Raw genomic sequence first — 23277 nt, 5'->3', positions numbered from 1 at the left:
ACAAATAGATACGCTCAAAAACACTATATAGAAACATCCAAATAGAATTCTTAAAAACTGTTTGAGTAACCCACAGGAAAAAAGAAAACAGAAAAATGAAAAACAGCAAGAACAAACAGAAAACAGCAAATGTCAGTCTTAATCCCTAACACAGCAATAATTACATTAAATGAAAATGGTGTAAATATACCAATTAAAGAACAGAGATTGTCAGAGTGAATTAACATGACCCAATGTTTGCTATCTATAAGAAACTCACTTCAAGTGTAACAATATAGGCAGGTTACCAGAGACAGAGAGGAATGGTATATAGTGATAAAAGGGTCAATTCACCAAGAGGACACAGCAATCCTAAATGTGTATGCACCAAACAACAGTGCAGCAAAATGTGCGAAGCAAAAATTAATAGAGCTAAAAACATAGATAGACAAATCCACATTATACTTGGAGATTTTAATACCCTGCTGTCAACAACTAATAGAACAACTAGACAGAAAATCAGTAAGGATGTGAAAAAATTCCACAATACCATCAACTAACATGATCTAATGAACATTTATAGAATATTCCATCAAACAGCAGCAGAATGCTCTTTCAAGTTCCTGTGGAAAGATATATCAAGATAGACAAAATCTTGGACAATAAAACAAATTTCAAAACATCTAAAAGAATTGAACTTTTACAGAGTGTTTTCTCTGACCACAATTAAATCTAACTAGAAATCAATAACATAAAGACAATAGGAAAATTTTTAACAATTGGAAACTAAACAACACACCTCTAAATAATCCATGGGCTAAAGAGGGAGTCTCAAAGGAAATTTTAAAAATGCATTGCACTTAATAAAAATGTTTAATGTATTAAATTTGTAGGATATAGCTAAAGCAATGATAAAGAAGAAATTTGCAGTAGTAAATACATACATCAGACAAAGAAGAAAGGTGTCATATCAATAATCCAAACTCCCACCTCAATAACCCAGACAAAGAAGAGCAAAATAAATCCAAAGCAAGCAGAAGAAAATATGACGATAGCATAAATCAGTGAATTGAAAACAGAAAAACAAAAGAGAAAATTAATGAAACAAAGAACTGGTCTTTTGAGAAGATCAATAAAATTGACAAAATCTAGCAAGACTGAGAAAGAAAAAGGAGAGAAGACACAAATTACCAATATTTATACGAATGGAACATGGAATATCACTACAGACCTATACACAGTAAAATGGATACTATGAATTTTACACACATAAATTTAACTCAGAAAAAAATGATCTACTTCCTTGAAAAAAACACTATTGCAATTCAACCAATAAGATATAGAAAAATTTGAATAGCCCTATATATAACATTGATGAGATTTCATTCATAATTTTAAGCCTCCAAAAAAGAAATCTCCAGGCCCAGAAGTCTTCACTGGAGAAATCTCCCAAACTTTTAAAGAATAAGTAACACCAATTCTACACAATGTCTTCTGGAAAATAGAAGAGGCAATAAGGCTTCCCAATTTATTTATGAAGCTAGTATTAGCCTAATACCATACCAAAGACAGTACAAACAACGAAAACTACAGAAAAATATTCTTCATGAATATAGATACAATAATCCATAACAAAATATTAGCAAAGAGAATTCAGCAATATAAAAAGAATTAGACACCAGGACCAAGTCGGGTTTAGTTAAGAAACGCAAGGCTGGTTCAACATTTAAAATCAATCTGTATATTCTTTGGGTTTTTGGGGGTTTTTGTTTGTTTGTTTTCAGATGGAATCTCCCTCTGTCACCCAGGCTAGAGTGCAGTGGTGTGATCTTGGCTCACTGCAACTTCTACCTCCTAGGTTCAATCAATTTTCTTGCCTCAGCCTCCCAAGTAGCTGGGATTACAGGTGCCTGCCACCATGTCTGGCTAATTTTTGTATTTTTAGTAGAGACGGGGTTTCATCATGTTGGCCAGGCTGGTCTTGAACTCCTGACCTCAAGTGATCCCCTGCCCCAACCTCCCAAAGTGCTGGGATTACAGGCATGAGCCAGTGTGCCTGGCCATCAACCTATATATTCTACCATACATGGTTATATTAATTGATGAAGAAAAAGCATTTGACTAAATTTCATACCCATGTATGATAAAAGCTCTCAGAAAACTAGGAATAGACGGGAACTTATAAAGAGCATCTAAAAAACCCTGGAGCTAACATACTTAATGGTAAAAGACTGAATACTTTCCTGAGATTGGAAAAAGGTAAAGATGTTCACTGTCACCAATCTTACTCAACAAAGTGCTAGAAGTTTTAGTCAGTGCAATCAGGGAAAGACAAGAGGGAAAAATAAAGAGACACTTGGATCAGAATGGAAGAAATAAAACTGTCCCTATTTGCACATTACATTATTTCTACACAGAAAAGTCAAAGGAATCTACAACAAAAAAAATACTGCTAGAACTAATAAGTGATTTCAAATGATTTCAAATGGATACCTAAATTAAAAATACAACACTAGGGCCAGGCATGGTGGTTCATGCCGGTAATCCCCAGAACTTTGGGAGGCCCAGGCAGGCAGATCATTTAAGGCCAGGAGTTCAAGACCAGCCCTGGTCAATATGGCGAAACCCCATCTCTACTAAAAACACAAAAATTAGGTGAGTGCGGTAGCACATTCCTGTAGTCTCAACTGCTTGGGAATCTGAGGCACAAGAATGACTTGAGCCTGGGAGGCAGAGGTTGCAGTGAGCTGAGATCACACCACTGCACTCCAGCGTTGGCGACAGAGCAAGACTCTGTCACCTCCCCCCACCCCCCAAAAAAAACTGACAAGGAGGACAAAATAAAAATAAAACTACAACATTCATAATCACTCAAAAAATTAATTACTTAGGTGAAAATCTACCAAAATGTGTGTGGGACTCATAGGATAAAAACTATATAACACTATCTGATTAAAGAAATCAAAGATCTTAATAAATAGAAAGATATTCTTTATTCATGGATTAGAAGACTCAGTATGGTAAAGATGTCAGATTTTCCCCAAATTGATATACTTGTTTAACACAATTCCTATCCCAGTGAAACTTTTTGCAAACACAGACAAAATTACGCCAAAATATATATGTAAAAGCAAACAAACTAGAATAGTTCAAACAATTTTTTAAAAGAATAAAATATTTTAAAATATATTATAGAGCTACAGTAGTCAAAACTGTGTGGTATTGGTAAAGGAAAAGACACATAGATCAATGGAAAAGAATACAGAACCCAAATATGCCCACACAAATATGCCCAACTGATTTTTGATAAAGGTGCAAACACAATTCAATAGAGAAAAAGTTAACCTTTTCAACAAATGGTGCTGGGGCAATTGGATATCTACAGGCAAAAATAATAAACCTCAATCTGTCTCACACTATACAAACTTAACTAAATTAATATATGCAAAAATTAACTAATAATGTGTCAAACCTTAAATGTAGAATGTAAAACTATAAAACATTTAGATAAAACATAGAAGAAATTCTTAAGATTCTAGAAAAAGAGTTCTTAGACTTGACATCCAAAGCACGATCCACAAAGTAAAAATGGGTACATTTGACTTTATAAAAATTTAAAACTTTTGTTCTGTGAAAAATCCTACTAAGAAGATGAAAATACTAGCTAAAGACAGGGAAATATCTGCAACCACATATTTGTAAGCCACGTATTTTGCAAAGCACTAGTATCTAGACAATATAGATAACTCTCAAAACTCAACAGTAAAAAACAAACAATTCAATTAGAACATAAGCAAAGGACATGAAGATACATTTTACCAAAGAAGACATGAAGGTGACAAATATGCATTTGAAAAAATATTCAACATCATTAGCCATTAGAGAAATGAAATTAAAACCATAATGAGATACCTCTACACACATATCAGAATGGATAAATAAGAAATAATGATAACACCAAATGCCACCAATAAAGTTGAGAAACTGGATAACTCATACCTTGCTAGTGGAAATGTAAAATGGTACTGCCATTCTGGAAAAGTTTGGCAGTTTCCTAAAAACTAAACATGTAACTACTATATACCCAAAAATCACATTGCTGGGTATTTATCCCAGAGAAATGAAGACTATATTCACACCAAAACCTATACGCAAATGTTTATAATAGCTTTATTTGAAATAGTCAAAAGCTAAAAATGGGTGAATGGTTAAACAAGCTATTGTACCATCTACGCTGTAGTAACATGAAAAATGAACTTATTTGTGATGGGGTCTCACTCTGCCACTCAGGCCGAAGTGCAGTGGTGCAATCATAGCTCACCACAGCCTCAAACTCCTGGCCTCAAGCAATCCTCCTGCCTCAGCCTCTCTAGGAGCTGGGACTATAGGGTGTGCCACCACACCTGCCTAGAAATGAAGTATTAATACATGGAATAACCTGGATGAATCTCCAGAAAATTATGCTGAGTGAAAAAAAGACAATCTCAGAGGTGACATACTGAATAATTCCATTATAGAACATTCTTGAAATGAAAAAAGTATAGGAAACGAAAAATGGATTAGTTGTTGTCAGTTGTTAAGAAGGGGGTTGGCAGGAAAGAAGTAGGTAACATGAGAGATCCAAATGATGATGGAATGTTCTGTATCTTGAGAGTATCAGTGTCAATATCCTATTGTGATATTGTGTTACAGTTTTACAAGATGTTATCATTGGGTGAAACTGGACAAAGAGTCCATGGGGTCCCTCTGTATTATTTCTTAATGAATCTGTGGTCACTTCAAAATCAAAATTTTAATCATAAAAAAATACCTGAACATATTGTTCCCTCATAGGAAAAAAAGAGAGAAAGAATCAATGCAGTTCACTTCAATGAAGGAAACATTAAGATGAATTTTACTATAATGTAAAAATCTTTCCAGTATTCCTGACCAGATTTAAAAATTGTTCAGAACAATGGAATTTTAGTCATCAAAGTGCTTTCAGCAATACCCTAAAGCATCTATCTTACCTACTGTCTGTTTCCAGACTTGACATATAATTGATGTGTTCAATAATATTATTTGCCTTTATTAGTAAATTGATTAGTTTTTGTACTGTAACTTGAACTTATAGAGCATTTCAAAAGCACAGTGAACTCTGCTTATTTCCTGCTCATGTGATATTGAAGTGAAATGGTGGATTTCTTCCTGGTCGCTATGAGCATTAGTTGGATATCAAGAGTATAGTGAGAAGGAAAAAGCAAAAACAGCCATATACTTCAACTGAGAAGTGAGACTGTTCAGATGTATTGGAGGTAATGGCCATGAAGATCAAAAGGAAGAGAAGACAGGTCCAAAGCTGGGCAGAAAATAGAAAGGACTTCACAGAAGGGTAGTTATGTGAAGCAACAAATGGAAATAGAATTATGAAGTTCAGTCCTAGGCAAAAAAAAAAAAAAAGTAAAGATTTTCTTCAATGACTCCTCATTCAACAGGCATTTGTTGACTACCTGCTAGATGCAAGGAAGGCATTTATTGAATATACCCACTAGGTGCAAGGAAGACACTCAGAGAATTTCAGCGATATGAAAAGGGAGCTCCTTTCCCATAAGGGTTTTATAGCCTAGTAGGAATGACAGAAATATAAAAACAGTGAAGCCTGTAATCATGGCACTTTAGGAGACCGAAGTGGGAGAAGTGCTTTGCTTTAGCCCAGGAGTTCAAAACTAGCTTGAGCAACAATGTGAGATCTTGTCTCTACCAAAAAAAAAAAAAAGAAAAATGTAAAAATTAGCCAGGAATGGTGGTGAGCACCTGTAGTCCCAGATACTCTGGAGGCTGAGATGGGAGGATCACTTGAGTCCAAGAGGTCAAGGCTGCAGTGAGCTATGATCATGCCACTGTGCTCCAGCCTGGGCAACAGAAAAAGACCTGGTCTCAAAATCAAAAACAAAAAATAAAAACAGCGAATGCCACGACAAGGTGTAATTGACCCCATCACCGATGGGAACATAAGCAGTATGTCCAGGGAGCTCAGGTAATAACTGCCTCTCATCAGTAGCACCTCAGCCCCTGTAGATTACAGGCTTCTTCCCAAAGATCCCATTCTGGAACCCGACTTGTTCTTCCTCAACAACATTTAACTTGGAACTCTATTCCCTGCTAGGGTTAATCAGATAAATGTGTGCCAATTACGTATTAATCTCTGATTCTGGCTTACTCTATAATTCGATCAGATAACTTAATTCATAGAAAGAGGTAGATGAAAGCGACAATCACCTCAATAGCTACATCAGAGGAAGGAAGAGAAAGAGCCGAGTGTTTGAGACTCACAGAGGGAGGGAGAACTCTAGACGGCCCTAAAATTGCACCACAGAGAGGGCTGCACCCAAAGCGATCAGTTAGATTGTGATTCCAGGGAGGAGGACCTTTCCTCTGAGAGAAAAGTTCCGGGTAAAGTCCAATTTGCTGGAAGAGACCTTGAATTTAATGTTGTTATTGCACAAATATTATTAAATCAACTCAAGCTGCAAACCAGAACATTTTCATTTTTCATTAGCTTGATCTGTTTGCATAATGTGACTCATTAATCTTTTTCCCTGAACTAATCTTAGGTTGCAAAATAATTCCATCTCCCGGATCCCAGTCCAATCTTCAAGCTGTAACTAGCTTTCTAAAGATTTCCTTTACTGTAACGAACTCTTTCTTTGCTGACGTCACCTGTTACATAAGCAGCCAGATCAATATGAAATAATGACTTGGATTTACGGCATATCTGAAAATAACACATAGGGCAAGGACAACTGTTGAACAGTAAGGTATGCCAGCCATGTTCACATCCATTATTTTATTTAATTTCTATGATACCTGACAATATGTGCATTATATCCCCACTTTAGAGTTGAATAAAGAGAAATTCAGAGAGGTTAAGTGACTTGCTAAAGGTCACACACCTAGCAAGTGGTGAAACCAAGGTTTAAATTCAGGTCTGTCTGACTTCAGAACTTAGATGCATTCCTTCACATCCCATTCCACATGCAATTTAAAGCCAGAAGAATTAAATAAGAATCTGTCATTTTCACTAAAGATAAAACTGGAATAAATGACTCAAGTTTCAAAAGTTGGAAAGCTTTCTCTAAATAATAATGCCTGTGAGACACAGGATACGTAACCACAGGATGTCTTTAGGATACATATTAGAATAGGTTAGAAAGCCGTAAGGAAGTTTTTATCATGAGGTCTGTCTAAAAGCGGAGATTGGATTAAAGCAACATGCTTCTAAAGCACATATCTGATACTCACCTTTCTGTCTCTGCCTACTATTGTAAGACCGTTAAGTCATCAAGGTAGCACTCTCTAAAATGAATTTCTACATGTTCCCAATGGCGCCAATTAAGCTAAACCTAAGGAATTGCAGTGAACAGTGGCAGCAGCAGATCCTGAAGACTTGGACAGGTTGAGGTCGCCAAATTTCCCTATCCTTTGGAAGTGAAAAGAAATACAAAAAAAAATTATTGTCAATACTCACCATCGGTACAAGGAGATTGACCATCCAGGCCTTCTTTCTGACAACTGCCAGCCGCTCTCAATTTTGTAAAAAGTTGCCAATAAATAAGAAATAGCCTGTTTTTTGTCCATGTCCCAATTCTTTGCATGCACCACTCATTGCTGCTCTCATGCTCATTCCATTAGTTTAGGCATCAAATCATAAATGTAACTGAGATGGTATTTTGCTGTAGGTTCAGTAACATGCTATCACAACTCCTTAGTTTTAAACAATATATCATTCTCACCAATAAGAGACGACAATAAAGCTTAATAGCAAAAGCCATATGCCTGAAACCACAATTCTTTCCTTACCACGTATGAGCAGATGGCCCAGGCCTACTAGGATGATTCAAACTTAATACATGATTCTGAGTCATTTCCTTAGACATTTCCTCAGATGAGCAGAAAGGATTCTAGCTTGAACCTAAACTGTAGTCAGCTTAAGATTCAGGCATTCTGGTGGTATCCGGAAGGCCCCAATGGGACCCTAGAGTCTATTTATGCATGGAACCAAGACGGAAGAGGCTGGAAGTCAGGCACACAAGCTTGGTTCAATGTCAAGGCCCCAAGAACTATTGGCCAACTGGAGAGTAAGGAGGACATTGAGCATATCACTGAGCCCATCCAGCTACTCAACTGCATGCAGACAAGAGTGTGTTTAGAGCCCAAGGCAGCACTGCTCTGGCCAGGTGAGAGTATTACATGATGTTTGGGTACAAGGGGACAGACTCTCCGCACTTTGGTAGAGAATACAACATCTTCTGCAGCATCAGTGACACAGCAGGTAGACAGTCCATGTGGTTTGACCAAAGGGTAACCTGACTGTGCTGGGCACCTTCCTAGTGCCGTGGTGGGCATCAAAGAACAGTGCAGCAGGTCACCACAGGAGAGGCTTAGCAGGAGAGTGGGCGATATCAGGCTCTGCAAGGAACCAAAGAGGACTGTGCTTGAAAATCCACCAAAATTCCCCTGAGGGTTTCCTGAGATATTTGAGAAGAACATCAAAGAGAGAAATCGGGGGTCCTACAAGAGTTTGTTGTTGCAGAGAAGAGAAATATCACTGGCTACTGTTATCACCCTTTTGATTTAACCATTTAGGTGCCCTACGAAAACTAGGTTACAACCTGCTGTGCTGACATCTGAGATAATGGAAGGATACAACTGCAACCAAACCTTGGAGAAAGGCTGGGCACGGTGGCTCACACTTGTAAACCCAGTACTTTGAGAGGCTGAGGCAGGAGAATTGCTTGAGTCCAGGAGTTCAAGACCAGCCTGGGCAACATAGTGAGACTCTGTCTCTACAAAAAATTTAAAAAGTAGCCAGCTTTGGTGGCAAGTGCCTGTAGTCCCAACTACTTGGAAGGCTGAAGCAAGAGGATTGCTTGAGCCCAGGAGGTTGAGGCTGCAGTGAGCCATGATTGAGCCACTGTACTCCAGCCTGGGTGACTGAGACCCCATCCCCCACCACTCCCTGCCCCCCAAAAAATAAAAAATAAAAACCATGGAGAAAGAGGAAGCTGTGTGACAAGCTATGAGTTCAAGAATAGCTATTGACTTCAATTTGAGGCAATACAATTAAACTGTTCATTGTGGTTTTCCCTACTTTATTAAAATAGCAATTTGCAACAGTAAGTTAGAAGCTCTGCTGGTTTCAAAGCCAATAGTTTCACATATGTTTGGCCCAAATGTCAAATTCTTTTTCAAAAGACTTTACAGACCATCTACCTTCCTATTGCCATTCCAAAAAAGTCACCAATATTAATGGTGCAATATTTGGTGTGTATATCTCCATCTTCATTTCTCACAAACATCTTAGGCAGAATGGATCTAAGCAGATCTCATTATCTTTTGATCAAATTCTACACTTCCCTCTACAGTTTCTACCCCAGTAAATGGCATTCCTATACATCAATAACAATTAAAAATTTAATTCCAGATGGAATATCTATCCTCCTTTGAATGAATTAAAATACAGCTATAAATTCAATAAAAATACAGAAAACCCAATATTATAAAGGTAACATAACATTTCTTCAAAAATTAATCTCTAGGCCGGACACAGTGGCTCATGCCTGTAATCCCAGCACTTTGCGAAGCTGAGGCAGGCAGATGATCTGAGGTCAGGAGCTTGAGACCAACCTGGCCAATACGGTGAAACCCCGTCTCTAGTAAAAATACAAAAATTAGCCAGGCGTAGTGGCACACGCCTGTAATCCCAGCTACTAGGGAGGCTGAGGTGGGAGAATTACTTAAACTCAGGAGGCAGAGGTTGCAGTAAGCCGAGATCACGCCACTGCATTCCAGCCTGGATGGCAGAGCAAGACTCCATCTCAAAAAAATAAAATAAAATAAAATAAAATAAACTCTAATTTCAATGAAGTTCCAATCAAAATTTAAACAATATCTTAATGAAACTTGACAAGCCCATTTTAAAATTAAAATGGAAGAGAAAATGTGAATGAATCAAGAAAACTTTAGGAAAAAAGAAAACGAGGGAAGACTTACCCTACTAGTTAGTGAAATTCTACTGCAGAGGGCCGGGCATGGTGACTCATGTCTGTAATCTCAGCACTTTGCGAGGCCAAGGTAGGAGCATTGCTTGAGCCCAGGAGTTCAGGGCTGCAGTGAGCTATGATCAGGCCACTGCGCGCCAGCCTGGGCAACAGAGCGAGACCCTATCAAATCCTTAAATCAGGCTCAAGAATAAAGGCTCAATAAATACAGGCTCAAGAATAAAGAAGTAAAACCCAGAAATAGATCCATACATATGGATGATGGAGACAGTTTAGGTTAGTGGGAAAAGGGTAGACTGAATCTTCAGTAGATAGCGTTGGTACAGCTGGCTATCCCTCTTTAAAAGATAAATTTATATATAACTATTTACCCAATTGATAGAAATCAATGAATTCCAGATGGATTAAAAGTCTAATTGTAAAATACAAAGCTGTACAACATAGATGAAACGAAAACATTATACTAAGTGACAGAAGCCAGTTACAAAAGACCACATGTAATATGGCCCCATTTGTATGGTATACTCGGAATAAGCAAAAATAAGAAACAAAAATTAGATTCATAGTTGCCTGGTAGGTTGTGGAAGGCCAACAGTGTTGAGGTAAAATGTCAAGTTTCTGCAAATGAGTATGAGGGTTCTCTTGGGATTGATGAAAATGTTCTAAAATTGATCATGGTGATGGGTGCACAATTCTAAGAATACACTAAAAAACATTGAATGGTATACTTTAAATCAGTGAATTGTGTGATATACGGTTTACATCTCAATAAAGCTGTTAAAGGATTTTTAAAGCTAAACAATTCAAAAATATAAGAGAATGTGTTTATTACCTTGTACTTGAAAATGCATTCACAGACCCAAAAACGGTGTTAATAAATTTTACTTCATAAAACTTTGAAAACTATACAAGAAGGAACCTTATTCAAAAGTTAAAAATCAAACAACAAACTAGAAAAAAATGTTAGCAACATATACAAAAGAAAAATAATTGATATATGGACACACATTCATACATGTACAAACATACATATAAAATAAACTACAAGTCAATAAGAGGCAGACAACCTAATAGAAAATTGGCAATTGCTATGAATGGGACAATTAAGGTTTAAAAATTATTTGATCTCACTATTAATTTAAAATACAGCTGGGAGCGATGGCTCACGTCTGTAATCCCCGCACTTTGGGAGGCTGAGGCAGGAGGATTGCTTGAGTTCAGGAGTTCGAGACCAGCTTGGGCAACATGGCAAGACCCCAACTCTACAAAAAAATTAAAAATTAGCTAGGCATGGTGGCGCATATCTATGGTCCCAGCTACTTGGGAGGCTGAGGCAGGAGGATTGCTTGAATGCAGGAGGTCAGAGTTGAGGTGAGTTGTGTTTGCACCACTGCACTCCAGCCTGGGGGACAAAGTGAGATCCTGTCTCAAATAATAAAAATAGTAATTAATAATAGTAATAATTTAAAATACAACATAAAACAGCATTTCTTTTACCCATCAAATTAGCAAAAGATATTTTAGACTGATATTTTTGCATTGGCAAGAGTGTCTAAAAAAATGAGAATTCTCCTGCATTGTTGTTGAAATGTGAATCATTTGTAATACTTGTGGGAAGACAATTGTGCAGTTATCCATTAAAGCTTCATTTGTGCATACCGTTTGGCCCAGCAATTCCACTCTAGTTATTTGTTCCTGAGACATATTCATACATGCATATAAGGAGTAGATAAAGAATTTTCACTGGAGCATTACTTATGAAAGTGAACATTATAAAGTATTTTTAATGCCCTTAATTTAGAACGTGGTTACTTCATAGTATATCTATGTACAAGGGCTTCAAAGGATGGGGTAGATCTACATTTACTGATATAGAAACTAATAGCAGTGGTTATCTGTTTGTTTTTGAAGAGATTGATGGCATCAAGAATTTTTCTGTATTGGTGTAGTTTTTTTACCAGAAAATTTTCTATAACTTGTATAATTAAAAATAAATGAAAACAAGAATATGCAATATGTTAGTAAGGAGCATTATGAGAAAATTATCAAAACAACACTTTGCATTGGTGTCAAGCAGAGATGAGCAACTATTTTTTAAAGGGCACCAATTTAGTTAAAATAACAGTGTTTAAGGAGCCCGTGATCTCACTTCTTTAGAATTTATCTTGCAGGAAAAAAATGCATGTGTACACACACACACAAAGTGTAGCCATAAGAATATCCATTCCAGAATGTTTTAATTTTAAAAATGGACACAAAATAATGGTTCACATGTGAGGGGTGGGTATATAAATTATTATAGATACATTAAATAAAATTATCTATAACCATTGAAAAGATGATGAAGACTTATATTTTTGACTTGGAAAATGTCTTACAACATGTAGTCTAGTGAATAAATCAGGTAAGAGAATAGCCGGTGTATTAGTCAAGGTTCTCTAGAGGGACAGGACTAATAGGACAGATGTATATATGAAGGGGAGTTTATTAAGGAGTATTGACTCACATGATTGCAAGGTGAAGTCCCACAGTAGACCATCTGCAAGCTGAGGAGCAAGAAAGCCTCGAAAGTAGGGAAGCCAACGGTGCAGGCTTCAGTCTGTGGCCAAAGGTCTGAGAGCCCCTGGCAAACAACTGGTGTAAGTCCAAGAGTCCAAAAGCTGAAGAACTCGGAGTCCAGTATTCCAAGGTAGGAAGCACCCAGCATGGGAGAAAGATGAAGGCTGGAAGACTCAGCAAGTCAAGTTCTTCCAATGTCTGCCTGCTTTATTCTGGCCACACTGGAAGCTAATTAGATGGTGCCCACCCAGATGGAGGGTGGGTCTGCCTCTCCCAGTCCACTGACTCAAATGTTAATCTCCTTTGGCAACACCCTCACAGACACACCCAGGAACAATACTGTGCATCTTTCAATCCAATCAAGTTGACACTCAATATTAACCATCACAGCATGTATACTTTGATCCTATTTACATTAAAAAATGATTTCCATATCCTTGTGAACTTACATACATAGAAAGGTATCATAAGGGATGTTTAATAAAATGTTGATATGGTCATTAAAGGGATAAAAATAATTTATTAAAATTCTCATTAAAACATTAATTTGTATTGAGATATTATATAATATATAATAATTATTTCATTTGCTCCTCATTATTCTGTAACTTGAGAACCATTATTCTTTCCAATTTTTTAGATAAGAAATTAAAGATTAAAAATGTACAAAGACTGCACAGCTAGTAAGGGATTAAAATCTGTCTCATTCTGAAGCCTGTGGTTTTAACTACCACCTATTCTAATTCTCTACTTTATCATTTTCTTATAAACAGTTAAAATAAATAACTTATTGATTCATTGTTATTGCATGGCTTCTAAGCCTAATGGTTGCTGAATAAAAGGGAGTTACCAAGAACGAACCATAACAGGAAAAGATCATGGAGACCTTCGTCTTTCTAAAGTGTGAGACGTCTTTAGAAAGGAGCCAACTGAAGACAGAGCTCTTGGCCTTTCCTTATTCCTGGCTGACCCTGTTTCCACCAAGGCCTAGGGAGAGTCTAACAGTGTGTTTTGAAAAGCAATTTGGACACGGCTGTATACATAACACACAAATACACACACACACACACTCACGCGCACACGCACACACACACACACAGGCATTTTTATGGCCTTTTTGTTACCTCCCTCTTTCTACCCTTTAAAAAAAATCCACAAAATTCACATGATTACTATTTTTTCTGTATTTTTTGTCTTTGTGTGTTTGTGTGTGTGTGTAGAGGGGATGTAGGTCAATGATTGTCACCAAAAACTGGGAAAACTGAAGATCTACCCTCTTAGCAAACTTCAAGTATACCATACAGTATTATTAACTATGTATACATATAGAAAAACATGAAGTTGTACATCTTTTTTTTTTTTTTTTGAGACGGAGTCTCGCTCTGTCGCCCAGGCTGGAGTGCAGTGGTGCGATCTCTGCTCACTGAAGGCTCCGCCCCTCCTGGTTCACGCCATTCTCCTGCCTCAGCCTCCCGAGTAGCTGGGACTACAGGCGCCTACCACATCGCCCCAAGCTGTACATCTTATTTGTCAATTAAACTTCAATAAAGATGGGGAGGGGGAAAGACTCTTTGAATCTATTTAAGAAGAAAGCTGAACTAAATACTCTCTCCCAAATGCCCTATAATTGCTTAAAATATTTTTTAAGTGTGGCAGAGGTCTTTAACAGATATTAAGAGAGTCTACTTAAAAATTCTAGTTGTAATTTAACATAATTTGAATACATATAATGATATATTTGAGGGTCTACTTACAATTCAAACTGTAATTTAAGACAATCCTAATAAACATATTGCCCTTCTACCCTGGTACTATTGGATGAGTGCCTGGAAGTTGACTGGAGTTTCTGTCACTAGGATGGATCTTATGGATGGAGCATGATGAGGCTTTAATAAAATGTCTCATTTAAAAGATCAATGGGCCAGGCACTGTGGCTCATGCCTGTAATACCAGCACTTTGGGAGGCTGAGGCAGGCAGATTACCTGAGGTCAGGAGTTTGAGACCAGCCTGACCAACATGGCAAAACCCCGTCTCTGCTAAAAATACAAAAAAAGAAAAATAGCCAGGTGTGGTGGCAGGCACCTGTAATCCCAGCTACTCGGGAAGCTGAGGCAGGAGAATTGCTTGAACCTGGGAGGTGGAGGCTGCAGTGAGCCGACGTCACGCCATTGCACTCCAGCCTGGGCAATGAGTGCGAAACTCCGTCTCAAAAAAATATAAATAAAATAAAATAAAAGATCTATGAGACATTCATTACAAATTGGCTTCTCACAAACTCAAAACTGATTGAAATCCCTTCCTCCAGCTCCCCCACCAAAAATGGTGAAAGATACCTGAATTAAGAACAAATGCCTGGAGGGAGAAAATATCAGATCATACAAATACATAGAGAGACAGAATAATAAAAGGAATGCTGCTGAAAGCACTGTTAGATTCACTTTAACTAATAAACAAAGTACACAAATAATACCTGGGAAAGAGAACTTAACATGCATATATTTGTAACTAATACAGTAATGGTATTTCTTTCCTTTGTGTCCACCTCACTCCAGGGTAGGAAAAGTCTGTTTGTGGGAGAGATGCCTTTACAGTGGTAACTTTTGGGGTCACTGAGAAATGGCAGCAGCAAACAAGGAAGAGAGCCTGAGGCTGTCTGTCCCTGCATAGTGCCCATCTCCTGGCCAGTGAGCAACCCATCCCACCAGCACAATGGTGGTTACAATATGGAACCCTGTGACTTACACCATGCTTGAAAAGTTAACTCAAGGCAATGTGTGGAAAGCTTAAAATGAAATTCAGAATATTACCAAAGACAACTATTTGGTATTATCTTGCAATAAACACACTTATTTAAGTATATTTAACATATTATTAAAATAAATATATTAAAACAGAAAATGGTTTTATAACAGAATAAAGGAAAATGAATATTTATTGAGCACCAATTATGTACCAGGTACTTTATGATCATAAATTCATTGCATAGTCACATCAATACTGCAAAGTGGTTATCAACCCCATCTTAGACCAAAAAAATGCAGTCCAAATAGGCCAGGTAACCCCCACAAGTTCAAACATGTACAGCAGCAGTCCCCAACGTTTTTGGCACCAGGGACTGGTCCCGTGGAAGACAATTTTTCCATGGGCTGGGGGGTGGACAAGGGCTGGGGGATGGTTTTGGATGAAACTGTTCCACCTCAGATCATCAGGCATTAGATTCTCATAAGGAACGTGCAACCTAGATCCCTCACATGTACACAGTTCACAATAGGGTTTGTGCTCCTATGATAATCTAATGCCACCCCTGATCTAACAGGAGAAGGAGCTCAGGCAGTAATATTCACTCACCTGCCATTCATCTCCTGCTGCGTGGCCCCTTCCTAACAGACCATGGACCAGTACCAGACCACGGACCAGTACCGGTCCACAGCCAGGGGCTGGGAACCCCTGATGTAAAGGACAGATACAGAACTCCAACCCAGGCTAATCTGGCACTAGAATCCATGATATTTTCATGCAATGGCACCATCTTCCCAGATTAGGATTGTTTTTCTCATTAAATAGACATGTTTGGTCTGTAATTAGTGTGTGCATGGTATGCACCACTGTAAAGCCATTTATTGGAGTCCATCTGACACAATCCTTGGTTGAAAAGAGAGAATAGAATGAATATGGCAGTTTGCTAGCACTGAACTCTTAAAACAACACTAGGAATCAAATGCAGTTTTCTTTTCTGTAATAATATTTTAGGGGGAACAAAAACAACTCCATAAGAAAATACCTTGCAGTGAGTAATTGTTGAGACAATGAACGCTCCACAGTCCATATCTTGGGGCACGGTGGGTGCCTGCATACTCCTGCAGACTGAGCATGTTTCAGAGCCTTCAAAAGCCTTCTCGGAAAGCCCCAGGTGGTGAAATTGCCCTCAAGCACTGATGAGAAGCCTCCAGCCTAATGATTTGTTTTAATGCTCATGGCCACATTGTCCATTAGTGTTATTATCTGCCTTTGAGAGATTGGAAAAGAGAGTCTTGGCAAAGCAGGGTAGCCCAATTTCTGATATCAGAAACCTTCTCATTCAACTGATGGTGGGACAGGCACCTACCTTAGCTTTGATACACTCTGTGACATATTCAGTTCATGTACTGATGGATGTGCCACTAGCAGGGTCTGGCAATTGGAGGATAATGGTTGATTGGATTTGCCTTGTAGGTAGATATCCGTCTCTTTAAGCTTGGAAGGAAGGCAGATGGTGGGAGAATGGATGGGGATGGTGTGAGTGGAGTCTGTCAATTTTCCAAAAGGCTGTTGCCAAGAAAAGAAAGGCAGTTGATGAAAATCATGTGTTTCAAAGTAAGGAGACTAGGAAATACTTCTTTTGTTTTAAAGACATCATTGTTTGTCTTATTTGCAATGGGAAAAAAATATCTTTTTCAGAAAGAATATAATACCAAGAGACTCTATGTAATAAGCCACATTGTATAGTTAAGTAGCATAGAAGGTCAGTAAAAGACAAAAGAAACAAGATTCTCAAATGTCTTACTCAGCAACAAAAGTTATTCAAGACCTGGCCTGGTGGCTCCCATTTGTAGTTTCAGCACTTTGGAAGGCTGAGGTGAGAGGATCACTTGAGCCCAGTAGTTTGACACCAGCCTGGGAAACATAGAAAGACGTTGTATCTACAAAATTAAAAAAAAAAAAAAAATTAGCCAGGCGTGGTGGGGCATGACTGTGGTCCCAACTACTGGGAAGGCTGAAGTGGGAAGATCACTTGAGCTTGGAAGGTCAAAGCTGCAGTGACCCATGACCGTGCCACTGCACTCCTGCCTGGACAACAGAGCAAGACCTTGTCTCAAAAAAAAGTTATTCAAAGGCGCAGCATTATAATAAGATACTGCAGTGCATGCTACTATGTAAATCCTGAAATTTTAGCAAAAAGGAAAAAAAAATCATGAAGTCTAGCAAAATAGTAAGAGAGGAAAAGAAAAAGCCTTCATGATACTGACAGTAAGACCTCTGCAAACAAATGACCCGTGTGAGCATGATCCCACAATGAAGCTCAAAGTCGACAAGTACAACCATATTCACAGAGACCCTAATCCGTTTTTCAGGCCCCTAATCTTTATCATGAGCAGACATGCAAGAGCTACCAAAAGTATGAGGAAACCTACATGAAAGATAAAGATGAGAACAAACAGAAAAAAAAAAAAAAAAAGCAACTACAAGGAAACTGAAACAATGCAAGGAAAAGAATACTTTGAAAACAAAAACCGTAACTCCTATACTCAGAGGCACAAGAAAAGATAATGCATTAATAAAGCAAGAACAGAATCCTCCAAAAAAGAGCATTCAGAGAATAAAAAGTGTTCTCTTTAAATTTAACATAAGGATTGGAAAACCCCAAAACCAGCTGGGCGCGGTGGCTCACACCTGTAATACCAGCACTTTGGGAGGCTGAGGCAGGTGGATCACGAGACCAGGAGATCGAGACCATCCTGGCTAACACGGTGAAACCCTGTCTCTACTAAAAGTACAAAAAATTAGTCGGGCGTAGTGGTGGGCACCTGTAGTCCCAGCTACTCAGGAGGCTGAGGCAGGAGAATGGCGTGAACCCCAGAGGTGAAGCTTGCAGTGAACCGAGATCTCACCACTGCACTCCAGCCTAGGGGACAGAGTGAGACTCCATCTCAAAAAAAAAAAAAAAAAAAGAAAGAAAGAAAACCCCGAAACCAGGAGAAAATCTAAAGAGAAGAACAACCAGAGAAGTCAGAAAATTAGAACACAAGTCCAGGAAGTCCAACATCAAAATTATGGGATGGTTAGAAAGAACCAAGAAAACAGGAGATAAGATTATAAGCAACATTTCTCAGAGCTAAAAGATATCAGCTTCTACTTTGAAAGGTCTATTGAGTACCCAGCACAGTGGAACAAAATAGACTCACCCAAGGGCACATCAGTTCAGAATACTGCCAAAAATAAGTTTTACAAAGCTTCTGCAAGTTAGAAAGAAAGAGAGAGGGAGAAGAAGCCACGTGGAAAGCAGCAGGATTCAGAATGGCTTTGTACTTCTCAACACTAGCCCTGGAATCCAGAAGACCATGGAGCAATGCCTTCCAAATTGTGAAGAAAAATTACTTCCAACCTTGAGTTCAATACTCAGCCATAAATTGGAGGGGAGGTAGAACTAAAACACTTTTAGAAATGTAAGGTCTCAAAAGATGTGCTTTTCGTGCACACTTTCTCAGGAAGCTATTGAAGATGCCCTGTATTAGTCTGTTTTCATGCTGCTGATAAAAGACATACCTGAGACTGAGAAGAAAAAGAGATTTAATTGGACTTCTAGTTCCACATGGCTGGGGAGGCCTCTGAATCATGGCAGGAGGTGAAAGGCACTTCTTACATGGCAGCCACAAGAGAAAAATGAGGAAGAACAAAAAGCGGAAACCCTGATAAACCCATCAGATCTCATGAGATTTATTCACTATCACAGGAATAGAACAGGCCCCTTTGATTCAATTACTTCCCCCGGCTCCCTCCCACAACATGTGGGAATTCTGGGAGATACAATTCAAGTTGAGATTTGGTTGGGGACACAGCCAAACCATATCATTCTGCCCCTGATTCATTTAAAACTCATGTTCTCACATTTCAAAACCGATCATACCTTCCCAACAGTCCCCCAAAGTCTTAACTCATTTCAGCATTAACTCAAAAAGTCCACAGTCCAAAGTTTCATCTGAGACAAGGCAAGTCCCTTCTGCCTATGAGCTTGTAAAATCAAAAGCAAGCTAGTTACTTCCTAGATACAATTGGGGTGCAGGTATTGGGTAAATACAACCGTTCCAAATGCGAGAAATTGGCCAAAACAAAGGGGTTACAGGGCCCGTGCAAGTCTGAAATCCAGGCTGGCAGTCAAATTTTAAAGCTCCAAAATGATGTACTTCGACTCCAGGTCTCACATCCAGGTCATGCTGATGCAAAAGGTGGGTTCCCATGGTCTTGGGCAGCTCTGCATCTATGGCTTTGCAGGGTACGACCTCCCTCCTGGCTACTTACACAGGCTGGCATTGAGTGTCTGCGGCTTTTCCAGGTGCAGGGTGCAAGCTGTCAGTGGATCTACTATTCTGGGGTCTGGAGGGTGGTGGCCCTCTTCTCACAGCTCCACTAGGCAGTACCCCAGTAGGGCCTCTGTGTGGGGGCTCTGACCCCACATTTCCTTTCCGCAATGCCCTAGCAGAGGTTCTCCATGAGGGCCCCACCCCTGCAGCAAACTTTTGCCTGGTCATCTAGCCATTTCCATATATATTCTGAATTCTAGGTGGAGGTTTGGGAAAACCTCAATTCTTGACTTCTGTGCAACGAAGGCTCAACACCACATGGAAGCTGCCAAGGCCTGGGGCTTCCACCCTCTGAAGCCACAGCCTGAGCTGTACATTGGCCCCTATCAGCCACAGCTAGAGTGGCTGGGATGCAGGACACCAAGTCCCTAGGCTGCACACATCACAGGGACCCTGGGCCCGGCCCATGAAACGGCTTTTTCTTCCTGGGTCTCCAAGCCTGTGATGGGAGGGACTGCCGTGAAGTTCTCTGACATGACCTGGAGACATTTTCCCGATGGTCTTGGAGATTAACATTAGGGTCTTTGCTACTTATGCAAATTTCTGCAGCCAGCTTGAATTTCTCCCCAGAAAATGGGTTTTTCTTTTCTATTACATAGTCAGGCTGCAAATTTTCCAAACTTTTATGCTCTGCTTCCCTTATAAAACTGAATGCCTTTAACAGAACTCAAGTCATCCCTTACATGCTTTGCTACCTAGAAGTTTTTTTTCCACCAGATACCCTGAATCACCTCTCTCAAGTTCAAAGTTCCATAAATCTCTAGAGCAGGGGCAAAATGCCACCAGTCTCTTTGCTAAAACATAACAAGAGTCACCTTTACTCTAGTTCCCAACAAGTTCCTCATCTCCATTTGAGACCACCTCAGCCTGGACCTTATTGTCCATATCACTATCAGGATATTGGGCAAAGTTCCAAACTTTCACAAATTTTCCTGTCTTCTTCTGAGCCCTCAAAACTGTTCCAACCTCTGCCTGTTACACAGTCACTTCCACATTTTCGGGTATCTTTTCAGCAACACCCCACTCTACTGGTACCGATTTACTGTATTAGTTCGTTTTCATGCTGCTGATAAAGACGTATGTGAGACTGGGAAGAAAAAGAGGTTTAATTGGATTGATAATTCCACATGGCTGGGGAGGCCTCAAACGTCACCTCTTACATACAGTGGCAAGAGAAAAATGAGGAAGAAGCAAAAGCAGAAACCCCTGATAAACCCATCAGATTTTGTGAGATTTATTCACTATGACAAGAATAGCACAGGAAAGCCTGGCCCCCGTGATTCAATTACCTCCCCCTGTGACCCTCCCGCAACATGTGGGAATTCTGGGAGATACAATTCAAGTTGAGATTTGGGAGGGGGCAGTCAAACCATACCATGACCTCACCAGAGTGAGGGAGTAAACTAAGAATATGTAGGCTACACGAAAGAGAAGACTCACACCAGGAGAGAGAAAAAAAAAAAAGAATTTTCAAGACAATGGTAAAGGGAGTTGCCTAGTGATAATAGAATGCCCATCAAGTAGAGATAATGAATGAAATTGTGTGATTCAGATGATTGGCATGCTGGGGCTATCATCCTGATTCCCTCTGCTACTATAAAATCATTCAACCTAGACGAAACTCCTGGAGGATATTCTCTAATTTTAACAAAAAAGAGTTAGAAAAAACATTTCTGTTTTGTTTTGTTTTTTTTTTTTAAAAAAAAAAAAAAAAGGTTCAGAAAGCCCACCAAGGCCTGGAACAGGAGCAAAAGTAATCCAAAGGTGTGACTACTATCTAGCCAGCCTAGAAGTAAGAAGAAAGGTCTCTAGAGGCAGTTTCTCAAAAAATACAAAAGGAAACTGATAGGTAGGCTATTGTGAATAGCTTTGTGTAATATTTTACTAAAAACAGCCATTAGAAAAGATGGAAATACTTAAAAATAGATACAAAGAAAACTAAACAAATAAAAAAGGCATTATTAACTTTAAGAAAAATATAAAGGAAGGAAAGAAAAAACAATCATAGTATACTACAGCACTCAGTTATAAAAAAATATTACAATGACAACAATACTGATTTAACCAAAATTGTAATTGGACTATATTGGGAGAATGAGAAAAAGGAAGCAAAATGGAGGCAGTGTAGAAAGCCAGTTATGTTTCCTACAATAAGAATTCAATAGATGATGTCTAGAATGGACAAATCAAAATATAGAAATATATGTGTAGTGTTTGGAACTTTGGAGATGTTAAATGCCAAAAGGAAGTTAAAAGAGCTGGAAGTGGTTGTCTTTGGAGAGGGGACCTGGGAAAAGTGAGAAGGAGTGAGTCAGAACACTGCTGAATTTTGTAATAGATCTTTTACTACCATCTTGACTTTTTAAACCACATGTGTACAGTTTTTCATTTAAAATGTAATTTAAAAAAATTAAAGAAAAATAAGATAGCCAGATGCGGTAGCTCATGCCTGTAATCCCAGTACTTTGGGAGGGGGAGGCAGGTGGATCACTTAAGCCCAGGAGTTCGAGACCAGCCTGGGCAACATGGTGCAACCCTGTCTCTACAAAAAAATACAAAAAAGTTAGCCAGGCATGGTGGTGCATGCCTGTAGTCCCAACAACTTGGGAGGCTGGGGTGAGAGGATCACCTGAGCCCAGGGATCACAACACTGCAGCCCAGCCTGGGTGACAGAGTAAAACCCTGTTTCAAATAGTAATAATAATAAGCTGTACCTACAATATATACCTCCAATATAAACAGGTAGGCTCTTGGGTGATTAACTTGAATATTAAAAAGAGACCTGGTATTATCTGAACCCCTGGCAGGGGATTCAGGCTACAGGATACAGATTACACTGGAATAGCCCAGTGTCTTCACCTTAATGTTTTCTCTTTAATTTCTGTAATGCTTCCATCCTTTTAAATTGTATGAATAGTCAGTGATCTAATCTTCTGCAAGTTCCAGACTTTCATCTACAGATATAACAAGATCTGTTACTTGCTCACATTATTTCTCTGAATCACAATGGTAAGGTGATAATTACCCTCTCCCTGGGAATAAGAAGCTACTATTTATTATGTACGTACCCTTCACTGCCTTGAATAATCAAAGGATCTCGCAATTGTGTAGTACTTTACAGTTTTCATTGTGCATTTTCATTGTGCTTTTTCATGATTTTATGAAACCAAAGGCCAGGCGGAAGCTCAGAGAGTTGAAGTGACTTCCTTAAGGTCACTCAGCTGGTAACAGCAAGCCACAAGTAGAGGCATCACTGCTGACTCTCTCTCCACCTACCATACTGTGCAGCAGTCTGGTTTTCAAATTTCCTAAAGTCCCCATTTGTTTAATAGCTCCAGTTGCTGGCAGCTGAACAACCAGATGGTGGGAAAAAAGAAAAAGGGTGTGTGTAAATTTACTTTTCGAAACTCCGGCCATTGTGCCCAGAGCCAGCCTTAGAACAAGTTGCCCTCTACCCAGATCAACCCCAGAACCTGTCGTGCAAACATCCCAAATTGGGGGTCTTAGGACTTTTCCACATTCACGAGTCTCTTTTAAAATTGGAAATACCCCTGAGAAATGGAGTACCTTAATACTTATC

At 39.0% G+C, this 23277-nt stretch overlaps 1 long non-coding RNA gene across 2 annotated transcripts in view; it reads right to left on the bottom strand.

The window, feature by feature from the left end:
* The window catches only part of LOC105376454 (uncharacterized), a 42321-nt gene extending 21167 nt beyond the window's left edge, over window positions 1-21154 (bottom strand). For both annotated transcript variants that reach the window (XR_930753.3, XR_930754.3), the window contains exons 1-4: window positions 21073-21154; window positions 17123-17258; window positions 16361-16884; window positions 7261-7438 (exon numbers count right to left, since the gene is read on the bottom strand). This is a non-coding gene — a long non-coding RNA (uncharacterized LOC105376454). The remainder of the gene's footprint in view (window positions 1-7260; window positions 7439-16360; window positions 16885-17122; window positions 17259-21072) is intronic.
* Between the last annotated feature and the right edge of the window lie 2123 nt (window positions 21155-23277).

Source organism: Homo sapiens, chromosome 10 (assembly GCF_000001405.40).
Source record: "Homo sapiens chromosome 10, GRCh38.p14 Primary Assembly".
Classification (NCBI taxonomy): Eukaryota; Metazoa; Chordata; class Mammalia; order Primates; family Hominidae; genus Homo; species Homo sapiens.
Note: the sequence above shows the minus strand (reverse complement) of the source record. Positions and strands in the feature narration are given on the sequence as shown.